Source organism: Homo sapiens, chromosome 1 (assembly GCF_000001405.40).
Source record: "Homo sapiens chromosome 1, GRCh38.p14 Primary Assembly".
In the NCBI taxonomy this organism is placed as follows: domain Eukaryota; kingdom Metazoa; phylum Chordata; class Mammalia; order Primates; family Hominidae; genus Homo; species Homo sapiens.
Genome location: NC_000001.11, coordinates 71,926,914 through 71,950,861, shown reverse-complemented (window position 1 = coordinate 71,950,861; position 23,948 = coordinate 71,926,914). Strand labels below are relative to the sequence as shown.

At 33.6% G+C, this 23,948-nt stretch overlaps 1 protein-coding gene across 4 annotated transcripts in view; it reads left to right on the top strand.

The window, feature by feature from the left end:
• The window catches only part of NEGR1 (neuronal growth regulator 1), an 886,597-nt gene that overhangs the window by 331,678 nt on the left and 530,971 nt on the right, over positions 1–23,948 (top strand). For all 4 annotated transcript variants that reach the window (NM_173808.3, XM_011541200.4, XM_017000961.3 and 1 more), the window contains exon 2: positions 15,551–15,783. In NM_173808.3, the coding sequence (NP_776169.2) occupies positions 15,551–15,783 (233 nt within the window). The remainder of the gene's footprint in view (positions 1–15,550; positions 15,784–23,948) is intronic.

Genomic DNA, 23,948 nt, shown 5'->3' with positions numbered 1-23,948 from the left:
ATCCATGTAGTCCTTTTGCATCAGAAGCGAGTCAGGAATTAAGGACCTAAGGAGACAAGCACAGCCAGAAACAATAGACCTCTGTGTTTAGTATTGACTACAAAGACAATTGTGAAATATTGGTAACAGAATAAAAGCTAAGGAAAGTGTGGCTGTATTCCTAACATGGCTTTTACAAGGCAGTTTGTGCTTAACTAACTTGCTTGGCTGCTTGAAAATAATGCACTGTGAAAGATAAGAAAAGTGGATATAGTAGGTTTTGATTTTCATAAAAGATTTTGACAGCTTCACGTGAGAGATTAATGGCTAAGGTAGAGAACTATAGAGAAAGCAGTAAGGAGTTCTTTACATAGGAAATCGGTTCAAGAATGAAACAGTATTTGAGGATGAAAATATTTCAAGTAAAATAGAATTTTAGGGAGCAGTACACTTTAGACTTTTAATTTCAAAAAGCACTCAATTTGCATTCTTTTTTCTTTCCTTCTTCTCTAATTTATAATTCCCATGCATTTATTATATTTAATAATGTTACTTATGTGTTATGCTTGCTACAAATTATACTAAAAGTGATTACCAGTGTGTTTATCCACAAAATGCAGGTAAATGTAAGAACAATGAATGACAAATATGTATCTTGCTAAGAAATGAAGGAGTTACTGCCACACAGTAGGAACTCTGAACTACATAAACAGGAATGATATTTCACCAAGACCATGTTTGGATCATGAAATAAAAATGTAAAAAACCCATCTTTGAATTCATAAGAATAATAATTACAATATTATGTTGTTTGAGTCAAATTAAAACCAAATGAGTAAGGTTTCCTCAGTTTAATAAAATATTTGTTAACTTATGTAGATTTTCTTTATACGGCCTCTTTACCCATTCTTTATCTATTTTACCTGGCCTCTTGAGTTTTTCTTACATGTTCCAGAAACATAGGAAAGAAAACGAAACTATATGAGCAGCTTCCATTTGTTTTTCTAAGACAGAAAGCAGTTTGTTCTCCTTTCAGTGTGTCAAGGCTAGAATTTAGTATCACTAAGTTATTTTTAAAGTAAAATGAACAAGAAGATAAAAGGAGACTCTCTAGACAGTGGGCAGTTCCATTTGTTCCAAATTATATATTCAATTTTTGAACCATAGAGGAAATCCAGAGATTGCTGTGTGTGCTTCAATTTAGGATAATTTGAAACAAAAGTTCTAAAGTACAATAGAGTAAGGCTGGTGTTAATGCTGCCTCTCCTACTAAACCTGCCCTGACCTATTCTTACCCTATTCTTTGTTCCAGTAGAATATGTCATCTTTTCTTTTATGCAGCAGTCACACAGTATTTTATTTGGAGTTCTTATAGTATTCAAAAAACTATTTTTTAAGTACCAACTACGTGACAGGTACTGAACTTCTTACTACACTTCACAATGAAAAATAAGCCAGAGTCTTGTACAGTTTAGCAGGACAATAATTGATTAAATGAGTGACTGAACAGTGCAGGGCAATAAAGAATGATGCCTAATATGCTAGGGCAGTGCAAACCTTAGGGAGGGTCCATTACACCTGTCTGAGGCCATTGAATGGAAATGTCAGGGATAGCTTTCCAAAGACATGACATCTAAGGTTAGGTGCTTAGATCTTATCACATGAGACATTTCAGTCCATCTCACAAAATAGCCCTTTCAAGTGCGTATTCATATCCCCATTTTAAAGAAGCAAATGTGAAGGTTGAGAAAAATTTAGTCCCTAAATTCCTCAGGCTAGAAGTCACAGGAAGAGTTATGATTCAATCCTGTGTTAGTCTGAACCCAAAGTACAATATCCTTGAAGAAGCCATATCAGTATTTCCCCCAGATTCCAGTTCACCTGTGTTTAGAGTGATAGTGTATTTTTTTTCCTCTTCAGGTTAACTTTTTAGAGTGACTCAAGGAAGTAATAACTAATATCACAAAATTCTGACCTTGAGAGATGATAGTCATGGGGCTCGAAAAATATGCAGCAATCTAGTAAAGACAACTCCAGCCAGAAAGTCATGGTTGAAATTTACGGTTTTCCTAAATCGCAGTGGATTTTACATCCCTTAGAGGTACTCGCATTTCTGAGCCAGCAAGGCAGTGAGATATGACAGGTCCAGCTGTCCACTAGATGCTGCTGCTGGATGGATCCTCTAGCAAGAGAGGCATCGATATGTGGGGAGATTCTGGCACTTTCTGTAAGAAAGAGCTCAGATGAAATTAATTTAAATTATATATTGGTTTCATATTCAAAGTGTGTCACTTTTTTTACTATACATGTAATAATAAATACTCATTTTCATGTCTTGTCCATTTTCGTACCAAATATCTCCTGTCTCTCTCTCTCTCTCTCTCTCACACACACACACACGCCCCTTTTGAAGCACACATATCCCTTGAAGAAGCAAATATTTAACAATAACAAAGAGTTGATCATAAAGATATATTTTTATATTTCTCAAAATGAAAAGAAACCCTAGACTACAAACACATATTTAAAAATAAATATTTATAATATATGGATATCAGCTTAAGTTTTTCTAAAGTACATAAATATTGACTAAATACAAACGATATTCAAGCCCATAGAATTTAGTAGAATAGGGCACAATTTTTATTTTCAAGAGAGAACATAAATATTTTAATTCGCTGATCCATGGAAATTATAATAAAGTGTGCTACATTCCAGTTGTTGTTTTAACAGAATTTAAGCAACTTTAAATCTACACAAGATAGAACAAAGTGAAAAGATTTTTTAAGCAACTGTATTTTAAAAGTCCGTGTTCTTCAGAAAGATTGTCTTTGGGGCACTATATTCAATGTGTAAACTTATATTATAATAATTCTCACATATATTCAGTTGTCTCCTTTCCCAACCTCTAGGAAGATAGAAAGGGAAGATTAGAAGTGGAGAAATACTACTCAAATATGTTGGTAGCTTACCATTAGAAAAATATACCAAATACAGCATCTTAGACATAAATACACTTAGGTACATGATGACTTTCCAAGGACTGTGCAGGAACAGATAGTTCTAAGAAATTTATTGATCATTAATTTCCATATTTTTTTTTTTTTAAGTGACCAACCTGCTGGAGAATGTCTGTATTTTGACTGGTTCTGGTTCCTACTTCCTGCTTTTACTGTCACCTTTCACAAAACCTGTTGAACATGTAGAATCATACCATGGGCCACGGCCCAAAGTTTAAAACTTGCAGAAAGTAAACAAAGAGGCTATTTAAAATGTTGATGTTAAAACAATATCTAGAGGTTGCTAAATTCTTTTGCAATAGAGGTGGTTTACAACTTGCTTTCTATACATCTACAGGGTGTATAGTATCATCATCAACTGATAAAGCATTAGGAATGATTTTGGGTGAGATTCCTGTAATTGTTTGTTGTATCCCTCTCATCAAGTTGAAGAATTAGTAGTATTGCTTAAATAGGACACCTTCCATTCCCATAGACTTATTTATGAAAACAGATTTTCTCACGGTTTCTGTCCATAAAATCCATTCCAACAAAATCTAGGAAGAATTCATTCTGGACTTTATTTCCTGTAAGTAAAAAGTTTTGCCATTTGAGTAAGAAAGTTTTTCCATGTATCTAGATAAAACCAATTCATTAACACCTCTATTATTAACTATATTAAGTTATATATATGATTTATATATATAATATATATTAACTATATAAAGTTATCCATATATATATACATATACGTGTGTGTGTGTGTGTGTGTGTGTGTGTGTGTGTGTGTGTGTATGAGACAGGATCTGGCTCTGTTGCCCAGGCTGGAGTCCAGTGGTGTGATCTCAGCTCACTGCAACCTCCACCTCCCAGACTCAAGACTCAAGCCATCCTTCCATCTCAACCTCCTAAGTAGCTAGGACTACAGGAGCACACCACCATGTCTAGCTAAGTTATGTAATTTTTGTTGTAGAGATGGGGTTTTGTTATGTTGCCCAGGCTTCTCTTGAACTCCTGAGCTCAAGCTCAGCCTTCCAAAGTGCTGGACAAATATTTATTAAAATGTGGGATACATATATAAATATAAAAGTTGTTCAATCATATACTATTAATAATTATAAAAGTTATTTTATTTTTGAATATTTTTTCACTTAGATTTGTATGTTCACAAGACATATTTTAATGCTAATTTATATACAGCATTTTACAGTAGAAAAGATAGGATATCAATAAAAGGCTTTAAAGAAAAATTAGGATCAAATTATGAGGGATAAGTAGAATAATATCAGTTTAAGGAGAAAAAGCAACGTAGCGTTTATTTTAAAGTAGAGTTTGTTCATCTTGTTTTAAATGGCTGTTAATGAACATCACATCACTCTTAATTCGATTTCTTTGGACATATTTAAAATTGAGAACTTACGGTTTTATTTTAAAATAGCAATATTGATAGTAGTAAGAAATTATAGGTTGGCAAAGACCTTGGATTATGATGAAAATTTTAGGTGGCAATTTTTGAGAGTTCAAAGGTGTACATAATTTACAAAATTGTTATATGAACCATACAAGCAAGAAGAAAAAAAACTGAGGTTGAGACCACCCTGGGCAACATAATAGACCCTGTCTCTACAAAATATAAAAATAAAAATATTTAGCCAGGCATGGTGGCATGCACCTGTAGCCCCAGATATTCGGGAATGTAGGACATGTGGAGAGAGGCTAAGGCGGGTGGATCGCTTGAACCCAGGAGGTCAAGTCTGCATTGAGCTATGATTGCATCACTGCACTCCAGCCTCAGTGACAGAGTGAGACCCTGTCACTCCCACACAAAAAAAAAGAAACGAATAGAATTGGTAACCCTTTACTTACATTAATGGGCTTGGGAAGATCAGTGTGCTTATGCAGTCTCTATATAGAAATTCACAATCATAACCTAGAGTTATGAAGAGCATTAACCTATAAAACATTGTAATAATTATAAAATGTTTACATTTATAATTCACTTTATAACTTTATAAACCTATCTCCCATGCACAGCCTCTTTGATCTTATACCAAAATAGAAGCTACTTAACACAGGTGATATTATCTCAATTTTGCAACTATTAAATTCTTTATAGAAGTTGAATTACTTGCCCAAAACAGTTGCTAGTAAACTAGGAATATGGTTTCTGAATGTAAGTTTTCAGTCCCAGTACAACTTTTATAACTTTTTAAAATATAACACCAAGGCTGTCTTTTTCTACATGTTCTGCTTATAAGATGGGGAAGTATAAAAAAAGAAACTTTTGTGGCAGTTCAAAGGGGAGTAAATGAATGAAGTACTTTTACATATGACAATTAGCTACCTATAAAATTAGTTCTGTGAACCAGCTCTGTGCTCTGACAGTATAGAAAAATAAAGTTTTGCTACATCAAGCCAGACTCTGAATTCTTTATTTTTTTCCTTCTTCTAATTATATTTTATACATAGGGTTTTTTGTTATTGTTATTACTGGCAGTAGTATTGTTTTCAAACAGAAAGTTAACCACAGGGATGTAGGGTAATAATAGTTAACCTGAATTGCATACTTATCATGCACCTCCTTCTGTCCTAAACAAGTTAAACAAACTAATTAATTTAATCCTCATAACAATTTTGTCAAGTAAGTACTTTTACTAACCCCATCTTACAGGTGAGAAAACTAAGGTAAATTAACTTGGCCCAGGTTCCAGGCCTAGTACACAAGAAAGATGACATTTGAACTCAATATTAACTATAATTACACTACACAGTTTGTTAAGGAAAAGTTATAATAAAAAATAAGATCTAGCAAAGACTCAAATTTGAGACTATTTTTAACTTAACATCTTTCAAAAATATAAAGTTTAATTTTTTTACAGGAAGCTGTTTAAAAAAACATTAATTTTTTTCTTCTTGGGTATACTCCTTAATTTATATTTTAAGGCATAGTTCATACTGAATTATGGTTTAGTCCATTTTCTCGAGAAGACAGACAAATATGGGTTAATGGCTACTATAGTAACTGATTGCAAGGCTAGCTTTAATTAGTTGACTGTGTAACCATTTTTTATTCATAAAACAAAATTTGTGTTCAGAATATTTTTTATTAGGAAAAATTGCAATAAGAAAAATCCAGCAGTGCCTGGCAGGATGCTTAAAGATCAACATAAGCAGATGGGTTGGGAAGGTGGGGAACAGAATTCATTTTGCTTTTTAAATGTCTGTATTTGGTGATACTGTAAAGTAGCATAAGTTTATTATTTTTACAAAACATGAATTTAGAACCTTTCCGTATATCCATCCGTGTTATGTTTCTTATTTTATAATCTCTATTTATTAATATATGCAAATAGAATACTTTTAATGACTTCAACACAAAGATGGCTGATGGAAGGGAGACGAGCTGCAATTGCTGATACTGTTCTTACTAGAGAAGTCCATGTCCTTTATTCCCTCAATTTAGGGATAAGGTGTATGTACCTGGCTCCATCCCAAAGAGGATGGAATAGAAAGGCTTGTCTGGAGCCTAGAGCTTTATCTCAGTCATTTCTCTGGATCTGATTGCATTCCCTGTCTTTGATACTGCTATTTTAAACACCTCCTGCATGCATTTTGAATGTAGTTTTCATTATCTTTGTATCTCCTGAGGTGAAAGTCCAACTTCTCCAGGAAGCAGCTGCCAGGGAGACAGTATTGCAGACAGAACTTTCCCCACAGCGGTTCAGAGCACCTGCCAGTTATCAAAAATCTTGAAGCCCTTCCAGATCCCAATATCTCACATTCAATCAAGTCCATGTGGGAGAAAGCAAGCTGATTTAGTTGAATTCAAAAATTAAAAAGTAGAGATGACAAAGAAATTTTCTGCTTAATTCATGTTTAAAGCCATTGGAACAAAGCTAGCCTTAAACCACTCAAATTTGTAACACCTTTTTTTCTTTTTTAGGACTTTTACATTCTTTGCTTCATTTATCAATTTTGTATTCATGCATTCAGTAATCTTAGAGCAGAGATGATAAGACCTATCTACTTCTCAGAATGTTTTTGTGAGTGTTAAATGAGATCATACATTTAAAAAATATTTCCATGCCTCTTAACCCATAGTAATCATTCTGCAAATGAAATTTATTATCGGGATAAGAGGATAGTAATTAGTAACAGACCAAAAATGAAGATATTTTGATATTCAGACTTTGTTAGTTTCTTTAATCATAATGTACAAGATCTCTCTTACTCTATCCATGCTTATTTTACTTCATAAATGCTAATTTATATGTTAAATTATTTACAAATAATGTATTGAAGCACCCTTTACATGTAAAAATTGTTTGGCATGGCCCCTCCTAACACAGACATATATTCTTGCTTGGAAGCTTCTTATTAATGGAAAGAATAAGATAAAGCAATTTGTGGTATTGCAGAAAAACAGTTTAATTATGAGTTAAAATGAGTGATTTTAATGTTTGAAAATGTGACTTAATCATAACCAAATTTGAATGATTTCCCAGGCATTTAAAATGTTATATATACATATATATGTATATATATAAATGGCTCTAAGTTCATATTTTATACACACATGTGTAAATATGTGTATGATACATGTGTATATATGTGTATGATACATGTGTATGTATGTGTGTGTATGTGTGAGTATATACATAAAACAAACTTAACTATACATATATGTATAGTTTGTTTATAAATATACATATATGTATAGTTAAGTTTGTTTTATATATATATACACACACATACACATATGTATAGTTTATAAATATACATATATATGTATGTGTGTATATATATACACATATATATACACACACATATATATACACATATATATGTATGTGTGTATATATATACACATATATATATACACACACATATATATACACATATATACTTATATATATATATAAAACAAACTTAGGGCCAGGCATGGTGACTCATATTTGGGAGGCTGAGGCAGGAGGATTGCTTGAGTCCAGGAGTTCGAGGCTGCAGTGAGCTACGATCGTTCCACTGTACTCAAGCCTGGGTGACAGAGCAAGAATTTGTCTCTTAAAAAATATAGATTTAGGCCGGGCGCGGTGGCTCACGCCTGTAATCCCAGCACTTTGGGAGGCCGAGGCGGGCGGATCACGAGGTCAGGAGATCGAGACCATCCCGGCTAAAACGGTGAAACCCCGTCTCTACTAAAAATACAAAAAAATTAGCCGGGCGTAGTGGCGGGCGCCTGTAGTCCCAGCTACTTGGGAGGCTGAGGCAGGAGAATGGCGTGAACCCGGGAGGCGGAGCTTGCAGTGAGCCGAGATCCCGCCACTGCACTCCAGCCTGGGCGACAGAGCGAGACTCCGTCTCAAAAAAAAAAAAAAAAAAAAAAAAAAAAAAAAAAAATATATATATATATATATATATATATATAGATTTAAAGAATTTTAAGTTGTGCATTAAAGTAAAACTAAACTATATGAATTAATACCATCACTTGATTACATTAAACTTCACAGATTTCAGAGAGGCGTTAAGTATAGTTCTGCATGAAAAAAGTAAGAAAAATTCACAAAGCTTAATTTTCAGTTTTTTTTCCCATCTAATTTACAATGTAAAAATGTTTTAAGATGTTCGAGGATTTGGTCTTATAATCAATAGTGGCTGATAGTTTTCAATCTTGTATCCAAAATATTTTAAAAATAAGCATATTATCCCAAATTGCTAGAGTGAAATACATAGAAAATAGAATTCTTTTTCCAACAAAATAAGAAACCAATGCTACTTGTTTTTTTTTTCTTTTTTGCTATTACACAAGAAGTAAAATATACCCAACTTGGCATAACTCCCATTTTGAAAATAAATGTACATGTTTTATTGATATTACTTTGGTTCTAAGGCCTGAAGATTTAGTGTAATTATTTCATAATAAAGTTTTTCTCATATAATACAAATGTTAATAAGCAAGTCATCTGTTAGTTACTTAACTAACAGATGCATCTCAGTGTCTTCATTGTAAAATGGGTATAATGATAATAATAATAGTTTTTGATATAACCTAACTCAAAGTCTTGTTTTGAGGATTGAATGAAAAATATACATAACATGCTTAAAATGTATCTGGTGCATAGTAATGTTAACATATTACTATTGTATACTGAACGGTATTGAACTGTTACCTGCTGAAGTGCAGTTCTCACTTAGATATCACCAGAACATATTTTAAAATACAATTCTTATCATCTCTAAGGATGAGGACTTCATTAAATAATTGAAGTTCACTGGACAAATTGTTACCATGGATTTCCCACCACCCTTCACTGTCTTCCACCTCTGCCACACCTGCAAAAATAGAAAGATAATAAGAACCATTTCTGTGTCTGAGTAGTTGTAAAAGAGAATTTTAAATATTGTCAATCATAAGATTATATAAAGTGATATTATTATCTAGGAAATATTTATATAACCATACAATTTATGTATACATACATACATATTATCTAGGAATCAACTCTCATGAAAGATATCAAGAAGAGAGTGCCCTAAAAAACAAAGGTAGGGGAGAAAGATGGTAAAATTTCTGTTCTCTTCCATATAATCTCTGCTTCACTTGCCTTACCTCATTTGGTCTTGAAATTGGGATATCAAAACTCTCTTTGTGTGCAAAATCAGCATGGAGATTTTATGGGGTTCTGAACTCTGTTAATATGCTTTTGAAAGTTCTCCTTCTGTCAAATTTAGGACTTTATGATGCAATGAAGAGACAGCAGTAAAGGTAGCTGGTAAGTCTCTTCATAGGAATATTATTTTCACTCAGTTTAGCTTTGAGTCCAAGAGAAAAATGTACTTTTTATTTTTTATTAATTGGTGCCTTTAATAGGAGCTTTCATTAATCAAAATGTCTTGAGAAAGCTGTTCTTTCTCCATACAGCTGAATAAATTCTGCTGTGTGGAATACTGGTAATGGTGCTAATGCTTATGTTTTTGGACTGTGCAACAAAGAATTTGAGATATAAGTAGACAAAATCATTCCTCAGCAGCCACAGGCTTTTTGACTTAACTGAGCTTTAAAAAATAACAAATACCCTAAATATGCTATTTTTCGCTACACTCTCTGATGTCCACCTTTCCAATTTAATCACCACAGGAGTTAGTATCACAGGCATATTCTGTTAGAATTTTCCTAACAGTTTGATCAAATAGCATCTCACCCAATGGGACTTCATACCCCCAAAACAGAGACCTGCCTAATGCGTAGTAACATCCTTTAAGGGGGCCCCTAAAAAGAATTTAGGCAGCAGTGCCATTCTTATTAGAAAAGAATTAAATATTGTTAGCCTGGGTTTATATAATTAAAACCATGAAGCAAAAAGAAATGTTCAAGCTATTTCCTATGTATTTTCCAATAGCCAGATGTTTGGAACTATGTGCACAAAATATCCAGATGACTGACTGAAAATTTAAGTATTTATCATGATATTTGGTATAGTGTCAACAGAGCATATGCTGAAGAGTGTATTTTTGGAACTGTTTTATTCATCTCCTTGCAAAATAGGTAGTCTAGCAGATTTTTAAAGTGAAAGATAAAAACCACTATCAAGGAAAGCTATGCCATACTCGATTAAAGGATATATTTATTATTGAACATTTTTATTCAGATTATTTCATTGTCTATATTTCAAAGGGACCTTAAGATCACTTGCTGCTAAAATGTTCCATTTTGAAGTCCAAAGAAAAAAGATCTGAATTTGTGACCAGAGAACTGTTACTTCATGCTGTCCCATTAATGATCTGACCACCCTCACTTCACTGAACTCCCCCTTACACCCTAATTCCTCCATTCTAAACAGGTAGTCCCCCTGACTTGCTGCTGCCTGACTCTAAAAATACTAGCATAGTCTGTCACTGTGGTTAAGAATGCAAGCCAACTGGCTTTGTTCAATCACAACCTGCCAGTACCTTTGCTTCTTCATCTAAAAAATTAAGATAATAGTAGTATCTGGCTCATAGGGTTATGTGAGGCTTAAATGGTATAATAAATGTAAAATGCCTAGCAAACCTCCTAGCACATACTAAGCAGAATGTCTAATGGTTTAAAAGGGTTTCGGAAGTGTAGAGTCAAATGTTGTAGTTCTTTCTTATTTCAAGTAGCTATGTGTATGAATGATTTTCTTGATCTGCCACCGGCACTCTGCCCACCCCTGCCCCTGACTTGCCTTTTTTTCTGATCACTGAATTCTTAGCTTAGTTCTTCACTTACTGATTTAGATTGCTTAGCACATCCTCTGTATCATTCACCAGTTATTGTCTGTACTACATATATCTGCATTTAATTACATGTAATTATAGTTTACATGGGTGTGACTTTGCTTTTCCAACTATGCCTCACTTTGGGAATTTTGATACACTTTATCATATTATTCCTTTCTCCAAAATTTTCCTAATTTTTACCTTCATTTATCCACTCAACACACGCTTACATTTATTGTTCATTATTTTTAGGCCCTTGGAATATATAGAAGCAACCAAATAGACAAAATTCCTGGATCTTGCTTCTAGTGGAAAGAGACAGACAATAATCAATCAAGTAAATAGATAACATGTATAAAGGGAGTGTGGGAACAGTCGCGCTATTTTTGCTGTTTAATACATTAGGTCATTTAATGAAAACCTAAGGAAGATAGGGAACAAGTTATGTAGAACTTTAGGGGAAAAAAGTTGCAGGGAAGAAATAGCAAATACAAACTAACTGAGGCAAGAGAATGCCTGACTTGTTGGAAGCACAGCTAAAGGACCCCAGCCTAGAGCAGAGTAAAGTGGAAAATAGGAGTGGGAGGTAAAGTCAGAAAAGCATCAGGGGACCAGACTCTATAAGGCTGTGTTGACTACTATCAAAATTATAAATTTTCTTATGAATTAAATAGAAGGCCTGGAGTTGTTGATGATCTGATTTGAACTCTAAAATGTTCATTCTGCTTATTGTGGGAAGAATGGACCTGGCTACAAGGGTCAAGGGCAGAAGCCAGAGACTCTCAGAGAATCTCAATAATCCAATTATAATGACAATTTAATTACTACATTTTTCACTCCCTGTTCTGCATGATGGCTGTTCATGCGCATGCTTTATCATCCTTGCTAAATTATAAATTCTGTTTGGGCCAGGATTCCAACAAATTTATATTTGTAGACACTAGACGTTTTAAACCAAGAAAAAAAAATGTTGGTACCCAAAGAGTACAAAAATAAATTGCTATCATGCTCCTCTACTTGGCTCTCACCCTCCACCCCATTGTACCCTACATAGCTTCCCTCCTTACAAAATTTCTTAATACAGCATACACATGTCAAGCAATATCTCTTTGTATTGCAAAGGAAAAAATAGAATGTAGATGGAGAATGAAAAGGAGGTACAGAGGAAGAAGACATAGTTCTTATTCTCAAGGAATCTTTATAATGACCAAAAAAAAAAAAAAAAAAAACACCTACACATGCATACAGCTGTGTGTGTGTGTATGTGTGTATGTTTGGCCTATTCACATAGTCTATGTAGTCATCTCATACTAGACCTTTAAACTACATGTATTCTCTATATGATTTCATAACATAGCCAAGTCTACGTAGACTTGCTATTCAAAATTTGTAAAATTCCATGTATGGTAATTTGGGTTATTTATGTTCTAACATAATAATGTAGAACATTTGAGAATAATTCTACAAAATTCAGCAAAATTTCCAAAAGGAAAATATTTTTTTTTCTGATTGTCATTCAAGAGTATTACTAATGTGTATCTTAAAAAACTTTGAGTTGGGAACACTGGCTATTACAAAATAGAGTTATTGAAGCCAAGGAGACATAAATGATCCCTTTTTTCATTTTTTTCATCATGAAGAAATTGAATTCCATTCTTCTGTGGCAGCCCATGTCATGCCAGAATTGAGGAACAGTGCTTATGCTAAGACTACTGGTTAATCTCTGCAGTCTTCCCTAATACCCCCCAAATAAAGGTAAAGCTGCTACTGCCTCTGGGGAAATGGAAATGCCCAATAGAGCATTCTAAATCAGACTTTCATGGTAAAACATCCACTAATAATTAATTTTCTGCTTCCTTTATACTAGGACAGGTTAAGCAGTTGGTCACATTCAGTAAATAAGAAATTACTTGCAGTAATTTCTGCAACATTCTAATCATTTTCCCATTTCTGAAACCTATTTTAAAAGTCTTTGATCTGCATTACAGTGGAAAGGATGTTGAATGTGGAAAGAGAAGACTTGATTATGAATTCAACATTGGCACCCACTAATATCGTGGCTTAGGCCAGTCATTTAACCTAAACATCTCCATTTATTTTCTAGTGATCAAGAGCTTTGCAATCTATACCCTGAAAGAGTTGTTATGAACACGCAATAGAAAAACATACGAAGGCCATAGATGCAGTGGTCACACAGAAACACTTGATGAATGCAGATACTAAATGACACACTAGAATTATCACAGTCCTAGCAGTTGATATTTCAGAGTTCTGTCCTGTACCAGCACAAATGTGATCTGTGAAATGGGAAATATGTACCCTCTATCTTCTTTCTGCATATTGTTAAGAATGACAATATGCTGGAATTATTTAATTACATCATTAAAGGGGTTTTATTTTCTTTATTAAATACATAAGGACAAGCTTTTCAATTAACAGTGACCTTTATGACTTCCGTTTTGGTTTCTGTAGATGGCAAAGCTGACTGCAAATTAGATTCTGCAATGTACCTTGTTCCTTACTTTTTCACCCACTGATTAGTTTCATACAGTTGACAGCAGCCCACCCTGTTGCTTTCAGCTTACAATTTTGTAGCAATCTCAAACACTGTGTTCAATCCCCCAAGGTGTTCTGTGGAAATGCTGTCAAACTATTTTTATGTATGTGTGTTTTCGTTCTGTAGCTGTGCTTTGTACTCATTTAAGAAAACCAGTCTTTAATTTGTAACAGAACATTTTCAAGATGAAACAGAATTCCAGGCCTCAGCAAAATCACTGGTATATGACCACAGCCTTCTTCTGTTCTAAAGCTTGATGTGCCTGACTACTATTAAACACAATGCTGTATTTTTGAAACCTGTTACAGAATATGACTAAATAAATGGCTGCAAATTTGACCTTAAAATCCAGTAATTGTCATTACGCTTGTCATCATCATGTGGATCCAGTTTTATTTCTCCAATTCCATCTCTCATGCCTTTTACCATATATCTCATGGTTATTTGTAGTTCCCTGAAATTCCTATTTCTCTCATGTTTACCTGGTGTTGCCCACATATAGCATCTCTGTCTAGAATGCCATATCTTACAATACTTATCTCTTTATCTCAGACATTGCCTATTTCAGAAGGCCTTTATGCCTTCAACGCCCTGAGTCAAGTAACTCTCTTTGATCTCTCATGCATCCTGTGTGTGATTTCATAAAAATATTCTCCTTTCTGTATGGTAATAATTGGTTTGCTCTTGTGTCTTCCTCGCTAGACTAAAACTTGTAGACAGCAACAGACAATACCTGTTTAAATCCATAGATATCTTATAAATGTTTGCTAGCTAAATGAATGCTTTATAAAAAAGTATTGATCAATAAATTGCAAAAACAAGCAACATTATTAATAAAAGTGTTATACTAGCTTTTTTATATCTAATGACTACAGCAATCAGTAAACATAGTTTATAGTTTTATCAGTGAAACATAGTTTACAGTTTCAGTGTACAAGCTTACCACTGTGCAAATGCAAGCTATTTTAAAAGTAAACCCTTATAGGCCGGGCATGGTGGCTCAAGCCTGTAATCCCAGCACTTTGGGAGGTGAAGGCAGGAGGATCGCCTGAGGTCAGGAGTTCAAGACCAGTCTGGCCAACACAGTGAAACCCCCTCTCCAATATAAATACAAAAATTAGCTGGGCACAGTGGCAGGCGCTTGTAATCCCAGCTACTAGGGAGGCTGAGACAGGAGAATTGCTTGAACCCAACAGGTGGAAGTTGCAGTGAGCCAAGATTTTTCCACCGCATTCCAGCCTGGGCGACAGAGTAAGACCCTGCCTCAAATAAAGAAAGAAACAAATAAATAAATAAATAAACCCACCCTTATATGAGTCTATGATTTCTGCATCTGGTACATTATATTCAGTATCAGATTGGGTCAGGTCAGTCTAAATCATGACCTTTACTGCTTCTCATAATTTCAAACAATGAAATAGGCTTTAATGCAGAAAATTGTGTAAACTAATTTAGCTTTATTTAGATGTGTCATCCAGACAGAATGAAAAAGGCTTTTGACTAACTTTCAGTTGAAACACACACACACGAACATGCACACACACACACACACACACACTACACACTTAAAAAAACTGTACACAAGTATTGTTTCACATTTGCATTGGGAATGGAAGATGCATCAGTATGTTCATGTTTCCTGAGTTAATGTCTGATGTTTGCATTTGATGCTGTGCTATTATTCAGCAAAAGAAAAAAACACTCAGAACAAAATAATGTTGTCTCTCATTTTTATTTTGATTAATAGTGTTGTATCTCTTGTAATTTGTAGGTGTTATTTGGAAGATGGAGCTTCAAAGGGTGCCTGGCTGAACCGGTCAAGTATTATTTTTGCGGGAGGTGATAAGTGGTCAGTGGATCCTCGAGTTTCAATTTCAACATTGAATAAAAGGGACTACAGCCTCCAGATACAGAATGTAGATGTGACAGATGATGGCCCATACACGTGTTCTGTTCAGACTCAACATACACCCAGAACAATGCAGGTGCATCTAACTGTGCAAGGTATGTATTTTCAGAACTGCTATATTGTGAAAGACTGTGCTTAGAAATATTTAATATTTAGGTATCAAAATGACTAGGAAGCAGTTAACAATGTTGAAATATTTGTTGTCATTGAAATATTTGTTGAATTATATTGTCATAGTTTTCAGGAATTTACATTCCTAGACATCAGAAAGTCATTAAGAGTCATACAGACAGAATGAAAAAGTCTTTTGACTGGCTTTCAGTTGAAACACACACGCGCACACACATACACACATTTAAAAAAAGGTATGCAAGTATTGTAGTCATTAAGAAGTGTAATGACTATTACAGGCATACAAATCCCTACTTACAAAGATAAAGAAATATCCATTAACACCATATTATGACATTTGTAACTGATTCACCTCATATCTTCCTTTGATTCATCCCTTCAATAAATCTTTGGGAGCCCATGATTGACACATTAAATGTTTGAAACCTACAATAGATACATGAAAATATTAGAACTTTTTGAAATATGCACAGTAACTCTTTAAATGCAATCCTCCAAGCATTCAAATACTCTGTCTCAATCCAACCTCTGTTTACTTTGATTCAAGTCACAATGAAAAGTAGCAGCCTTCTAGGATTTCTTTATTTAAATATAGAGTAATTGAGAAAATATGTACACAATGGTTTATATTTGATTTACTTTCAGTAGATCATGAATTATGCTAGCTAACTTTCAATCTCCAGATACAAACAGAATCATCAAATTATTTTATTTCTCTTCCATATTAAAATGTAAGAGCATAAGTCCCCTAAAATACAAATGGTTTTCAAGAAAAATTTAATTATTATGCTAGGAGAATGGAAAACGTTTATTTTTTACCTTTTACATTATTTCTTTCTGCTTTATAAATTAATCGTGTGTTGGTTGTTTAGAAATATTATGCTCTGTGGAACTAAAACTGAAGTTGCCTTATTTCTAAGTAAAATTAATAACAAATTATGTGATAATGTGGTGCCAGAGCATGCATGTTTTATTCCTAATAGGAAAGTTGAGTGAGAAAGTCAGCTGTACTCTCTTTGAGTTTACCCTTCAATAAGTCAAGGCTTAAAATTAACTTAGGTGCATAGCTTAAGTCTGAAAAAGATTGTTAATCTATAGACTTATTAACTGAGCTTTATTTCCTTATGTAAAGGTAAACTTGAATTCAAACACACCTTCAATTGTTAGTACAGTAAATATTTTAACTTTGTGATGAGGTTAAACTTCTTAAACAATTAACTTTAAGGAGGAAAGTATAAATTGAAAAATAAGTCAATGAATTTCCTCAGTGATTTTTCTTTTTTTTACAGATTATTGTAGGCTGTGATGATGTTCATTATTTAAAAGTGGTATATCAGAATATAATAACATTTTCACAAAAGTTCATCTTTAATCAGAGATTATTCAGGGACTCCAGAGGGTGGGAGTTAATCCACCTTCAGAAACCGACATGAGATTGTAAGACAAAACACATTTCTTATGTTATTCAAGCTTAATCTTGTTCTCTTGTTCAGTTCTCTGCCCTTTGACTTGAGTTTCTAGCTCAAAGACTCTAAAAGATTTTCATTATGTGAAAAAAGAAAGTATACTTGAACAATAATATGTTCGAGTTACTTAAGACACAGACATTTGGCTTGTACATTTTAAACTTGTAGGTTTAAATGATATATTTCTGAAGAATAAATATATTCCATTTTCCTTTTTCCATTCTCTCTTGTTCCATATTAGGTCTATATTTTAAATACCCAGACTATCGGTATTTAAGACCAGCCTAGGTACATGTTTAATTCTCATAGGATTTTTAAAATAACTTTATATTACATAGGTTGTTTAATATTGTTCACGTTTTTAAAACTGCTACATGTCTTACTATAGTACTCTTTTTTGCTGGTCATTAGACGATGGTGAACTTTTGAGCAGTTACGAATGTACTTATTGAATGTTCCTTCAGTTTAATATTTTATTCCTCTAGAAAAAGAAAAATCCATGTTACTGTTTTGAAAGTATAAGATTGGATAAAATTAAAAGCTAATAATTTTACAGTATTTATGAACATAATTACTTATTAGAAGTTGATTGACATGTAGGCGGTTTTCAAATTACATTAATAAAGTTCAGGGAATACATTAATAGGCTTGTCAGTCAATTCAAGTACTAAATAAATGTCATAAAAAGTCAACCCCACTTAAGCTACATTTCTTCTCAATGAACAAAAGTAAACTGATGTGTACACCTCTTCAGTCCCTAAATTTGTGAGATTGTCTGATGCTCAGGGGTATCAGCATAGTTTTGAAGCATATGCTCTTTGCCTAACAATCTGACAATCCTTTATTCACCAAGATAAAGAAGCTTAGCAACTGAGGGAAGACTGTATTAATCACTGATGTCAAACATACATTGGCTGGTAAAAACAAAGCTCATCTTCAATTGTTGCATGTACTCCAGGGAACTATTTTTTTTAAATCATTTTGAAAAGGGATAAAAAGGGGATATATTATCAACACAGACACTATGTTTGAGAAATTTATTAGTGCTATTGATTTCTTAGAGCTATTAATATAAATAAATGGAGCAGTGGAGGAGGGAAAACACTAAAGTAGGAATAGGAAAACCCGCATTCTAATCTGGAATTGTCCTGCATAAACTAGGCAATTATTAAGTCTCTCTGAACTCTGGCTTTCTCATTTCAAAAGAGACATAAGACAAGAAGGTCTTTAAGGTCCACACCAGTCAAAAAAAGACAAATGACAACAACAAAAAAAAACAAAACAAATAAAAAAATAACAAAAATCCCACGTCAATTATTTGCTTTGATTTAATGGGAACAAATATTTAAGTTAAAAAAGAAAAATATTTTATAACTTTTATTGAACACCATGCAAACTAATGTTTACATATAGCTCCTGTTACTACTTACTCCACAAGTACATTTCATTTCTCTTTATATTTTTTCTTTATCCAATGGAGCTGAGCAACCTATGTATTTATGAAATTTGGAGAATGTGATAATTTGGAGCCTGGCTTTAAAAGGGTTGAAACTGACTAATAGACTTAATAATAAAATAATTTTTTTCATTACCTATATATAACATGGTTTTGATAAATCAAATGACCTATTATTCACTGTTTTGAACTATGTGATATATTTACTAAGAACTAATTTCTTTGTTTATAAGTATAAAAGTGTGTGAGGCTGGAGGACTTGTTATGAAGCAAGAGCTCCTTATTACAATACTGTAATGTTGAGAAACATGAAATATAGACACTGCCCATTTGAATATATGTCAGGAATTGTGCTATGGTTAGAATGTGTCCCCCAAAGTTCATGTGTTGGAAAATTAATCTTGAAAGGAACAATGTTTGAGGTGCAGTCAAATAAAAGCTGGTTATTCATTCATGAGAGCTCTCATGAATGGGCTAATGTTGCTGTCATGGGATTGGGTTAGTTGTTGTGAGAGTGGGTTTGTTATAAAAGTGAGTTAGGCCCCCTCTTGCTTTCTTGTTCTTGTCCATCTGTTTTCTGTCATGGGATGATGCAGCACAAACGCTCTTGGAAGATGCTGGTACTATGCTGTTGGACTTCTCAGCCCCCAAAAATATGAGCCAAATAAGTTTCTGTTCATTATAAATTACCCGATCTGGGAAATTCTGTTATAACAACATAAAATGGACTAAGACATGGTTCCTACTTTTAGTTCTCCATGACGTTTAAAGTCTAGATTGTATAGAGCACAAATTAGACACTCATAGATAGCGTGTATTAAATAAACATATGAAATGTTTAGTGTTCAACTCATTCCCTTTCAAGGAAATACACTCTAAGTTTTCTCTGGTCAGAGTAGGAGGAGATTTGACTAGCACATAACTCTATAATCAAAATAACTTCTCAAAGGTATTTAACTTCTCCAGGGTATTGTAATTTCCTTAGGGTACATAACTCACCTAGAGTATTTGTAATAGGTGGGGTGCTACACTTCCCTTATCAAGGGTGGGCTTATTTCTCTAGAACCTGGGAGTGTAGTTAGAAGACAACATTCCGGGCCCTTTTGAGGATAGCCTCAGCTGCAGAGAGCCTCCTTGCTGAAGTCAAGCCCTGCCTAGAGCAGCCAACACCCAATGACTGCTTGAGGCAAGGAGTATAAAGACCTTTTCCTTTTAGCCCAATGTAGGACAGCTTTGATGGGCCATTTTAGGTTCAGAGCTCCTCATGGGCAGCTGAGGCTATTGTCCAGACTCCATTGCAGCTCTACTTCTTACTATATTCAAACCCATCTCCTTCTTCTTCCGTCCCCAGCGGCTGATCACAAGGATATTTCCTAATAAACATCTTGCACTCTAAACTCTGTCTTGTTTGAATTCGTTTCACAAAGATCCTAAAGTATGACAACATCAGATCCATATCTCTTGCTTAGTCATTGTTTTGAGAAAGCCTTTATAAAGTGAAAAGGCATTCAAACATCATTTATTATTAATATTCTATTTTATGTTAAAACGGATTTGAAGTGGCTTATGGAGGAGTATTCAGAACACCAAGATAGATAGGAAGAACAAAATAAACAAGAGAAGAGTAGGATGCAGTCAGAGGTGAGGTTAGATCATAAAATTTGTAATATGATTTTCATATACTTTCAGAGCATGTCAAAAATTTATTTCTAAGATTTCTGAAAGCCAATATATCTAGAGAAACAGAATCAGTTATTCATTTCATAGTTCATAGGTTAAAACTTACTTTTCTCAGTACTCTGATCCTGTTATTCAGAATAAAGTAGCATTTCTGCCATGAGCTATCTCAGAGCATCACGGTGAGGTATAAGGAACATCTCTTTGGTACACATAGCATTCATTCATAAGGCTTTTACTTATAACAGCTTTCAATATAACCTGAAGAGCAGGGAAGTAAAAAAAAAATTTAAAAATAAATTCAATAAGATGCCATTCCAATAACAGGGAGATAGCTTTTTGATTACCACCTTAATCTATGAATAAATTTTAGAACCTATCCTTCTTAGGCAAAACTCCACAAATATTATTTCTCCCAATTAGTCGTTGAATAGGAATTCAAGTGCAGATACTTCAAAGTTATACTTACCAATGATTATCTGGAGAGCAATTACTCTATGTGGCCACAAGTATAAAGCCATATTCTCCAAAGATTAGCACATCTTTGCCTAATGTTAACATCCTTTCAATGAATACTAAGGCCTTGACAAGGTGCACACTGAAAGAGAAGGACACCACACTCTGTTCCAGTTTGAGCTGATGGGAATAAACAGCATCACAGGACATGGGCCTGCTTTTCCCAAAAGACCAAAAGAAGAAAAAAAAAAAAACAGTAATGGTGAAAAAAGCATGAAAAAATACTACATACATTGGACAATTCAAGCCATTGTGCTGCAACAGTGAAAATTTCAAAATTTTCAACAAGTCAAAAAATGAAACCAAAGAAAAATTATCGCCACTAACAAAAATTTTACAGAGCTACAGATGTTGAAACAGTCATTGTCTGGATGCAATAATGGCTCATGACAAGACTCTCATATTGGATCCTAGTCTGTTTTATTCAGGATCTATTTTTACCTGTGGAGGAGATCAAGATTATACATGGGAACCCAATCTTGGACATGCTCTAAAACACAAAGAAATGGACAAAGATTCAAACCTCATGCTGTTAATATTTTTAGCATGGAAACAATAATAAACCATATGAAATAAAAATGGCTTAATAACCCGTTATGTGTCGTTACCCTACCCAAAATATCTTTATCTTTAAGGAATGCACCTTCATACTTACAAAACATAATCTTAGATAAATGAAAAAAGATAACTTGTTAGTGGAGCTACTACCAGTAAAAACTAGGAGTAGGTGTCCCAAAATTGTCCATGTTTTTTTGTACATGATCTATAGCTTCTTTATATCAATAACTAGATAACAAAGCTACATTTCTAAGAACATATATGATAAATACCTGTTATCTGCTTGTAAGAAAATGCTTATTATTTGCTCTCTATAATTTGGCTAAAAGTGATCTCAAATATTTAAGATAAATGTTACATGGATAGGGGTATACATACTCATTCTTATTCCCTTTGCAGGGGATTTCGACCTGTTCTACCATAAATCATTATTTACTTACCCCATTTACATTATAGTGCAGGTCCAATGGAAGACAAATTATACTGAGCTCAGGCAGACTAATCAATACCTGACTACTGATCACAGGGTGAAAGACCAAGTAAGTTCAATTACCGATAACAATAAGACTGTATTAGTCCCTACAAATTTTCCCCACAATGAAGTAGTAACAATGGAACTAGGCCTAAGAACATTGCATTGCATTTTTCTATTTCTATTGATCTGAAATGTCCAGTTTTGCAATTTATGAAGACAGGATCTTATTAGCATTTTGGAAGATATGCCTCATTAGTTAACAGGACGATCATTTTATATATATATAAAACAGTGAGATGCTGTCTCAGGAAAAAAAATATATATAGGTATATATATACACATATGTGTATATATATGTGTATAGATGTGTGTATATATATACACATGTATACATATGTGTATATATACATATATATGTGTATATATAAGTATGTGTGTATATATACATATATATGTGTATATATACATATGTGTGTATATATACATACACATATATACATATGTGTGTATATATACATATATACATATGTGTATATATATATACACATGTGTGTATATATACATATATACGTATATACATATGTGTGTATATATACATATATACATATGTGTGTATATATACATATATACGTATATACATATGTGTGTATATATACATATATACGTATATACATATGTGTGTATATATACATATATACGTATATACATATGTGTGTATATATACATATATACGTATATACATATGTGTGTATATATACATATGTGTGTATATATACATATGTGTATATATACATATGTGTGTATATATACATATATGTACATATGTGTGTGTGTATATATATACGTGTGTGTGTGTGTGTGTGTGTATTTATTTATTTATTTATTTATTTTTTCCTGAGACAGCATCTCACTCTGTGTCCAGGCTGAAGTGTAGTGGCTCAGTCTTGGCCTACTGCAGCCTCAACCTCCCTGGCCTCAGGTGATCCTCCCACCTCAGCCTCTCATGTAACTGGGACTACAGGTGCACACCACTCTGCCTGGCTTTTTTTTTTTTTTTTTTTTTTTTTTTTTTTTTAGAGATTGGGTCTTGCCATGTTGCCCATGCTGGTCTCAAACGCCTGGGCTCAGGCGATCTACCCACCTCGGCCAGCCTCCCAAAGTGCTGGGATTACTGACATGAGCCCCTACGCCTGGCCAGGACTACCATTATATTCCCCAGGTACTTTATCCAGTAGGAAATATTTAATCTGTTGAACTATATGAAGCAGTATTATTGAGGTCTAGAGAGACAATGGTCTGATATCTAAACAATTTAGAATAGTTATGCCTAATTTGGGAAACTTGGGAAAAGTAAGTTTTTCAGGTGTCATTCGTGATCTTAGACTTTAGCAAGATTATTTCCACAAATATACCTTCACAGACAAATTCAGAATCAAGGTTGTTTTCCCAAATGTACCTTCACAGACAAATTCAGATCTAAGATTATTTTCCCAAATATACCTTCACAGACAAATTTAGATCCAAGATTATTTCCCCAAATATACCTTGACAGAAAAACTCAGGTTCACCATCTGTGCTTATGTGGGGTAAGCTTTTTTAGGCAAGGAAATCTTGCATAACAATTAAAAAATTAATGCATTTTTCAGGTGGACATTTTCAGCTTTCTTTTCACACAATCCCTTCTGGCTAGAATTGCTATGGTTACATGGCAGGATATATCAGACCAGATTCTAGGAATTCATTATCTCACTTTTCTGTGAATATATTGACATTCATTAGGTTATGGGTTTAGCTACTATGATTTATAAGATATAAGGTGAATTGAGCTACTTTTAGTAAAATTCTTGTTTGAATACCAGCTTGTCTTCCAGAATACACATTTTTTTGTTCTAAATATTCTAATATTCAGAATTATTGAACATTACTTTTCTACAGTTGGGAATAAAGAAGTAGCAGAAAGAGAAAGTAGATTTCAGTAAA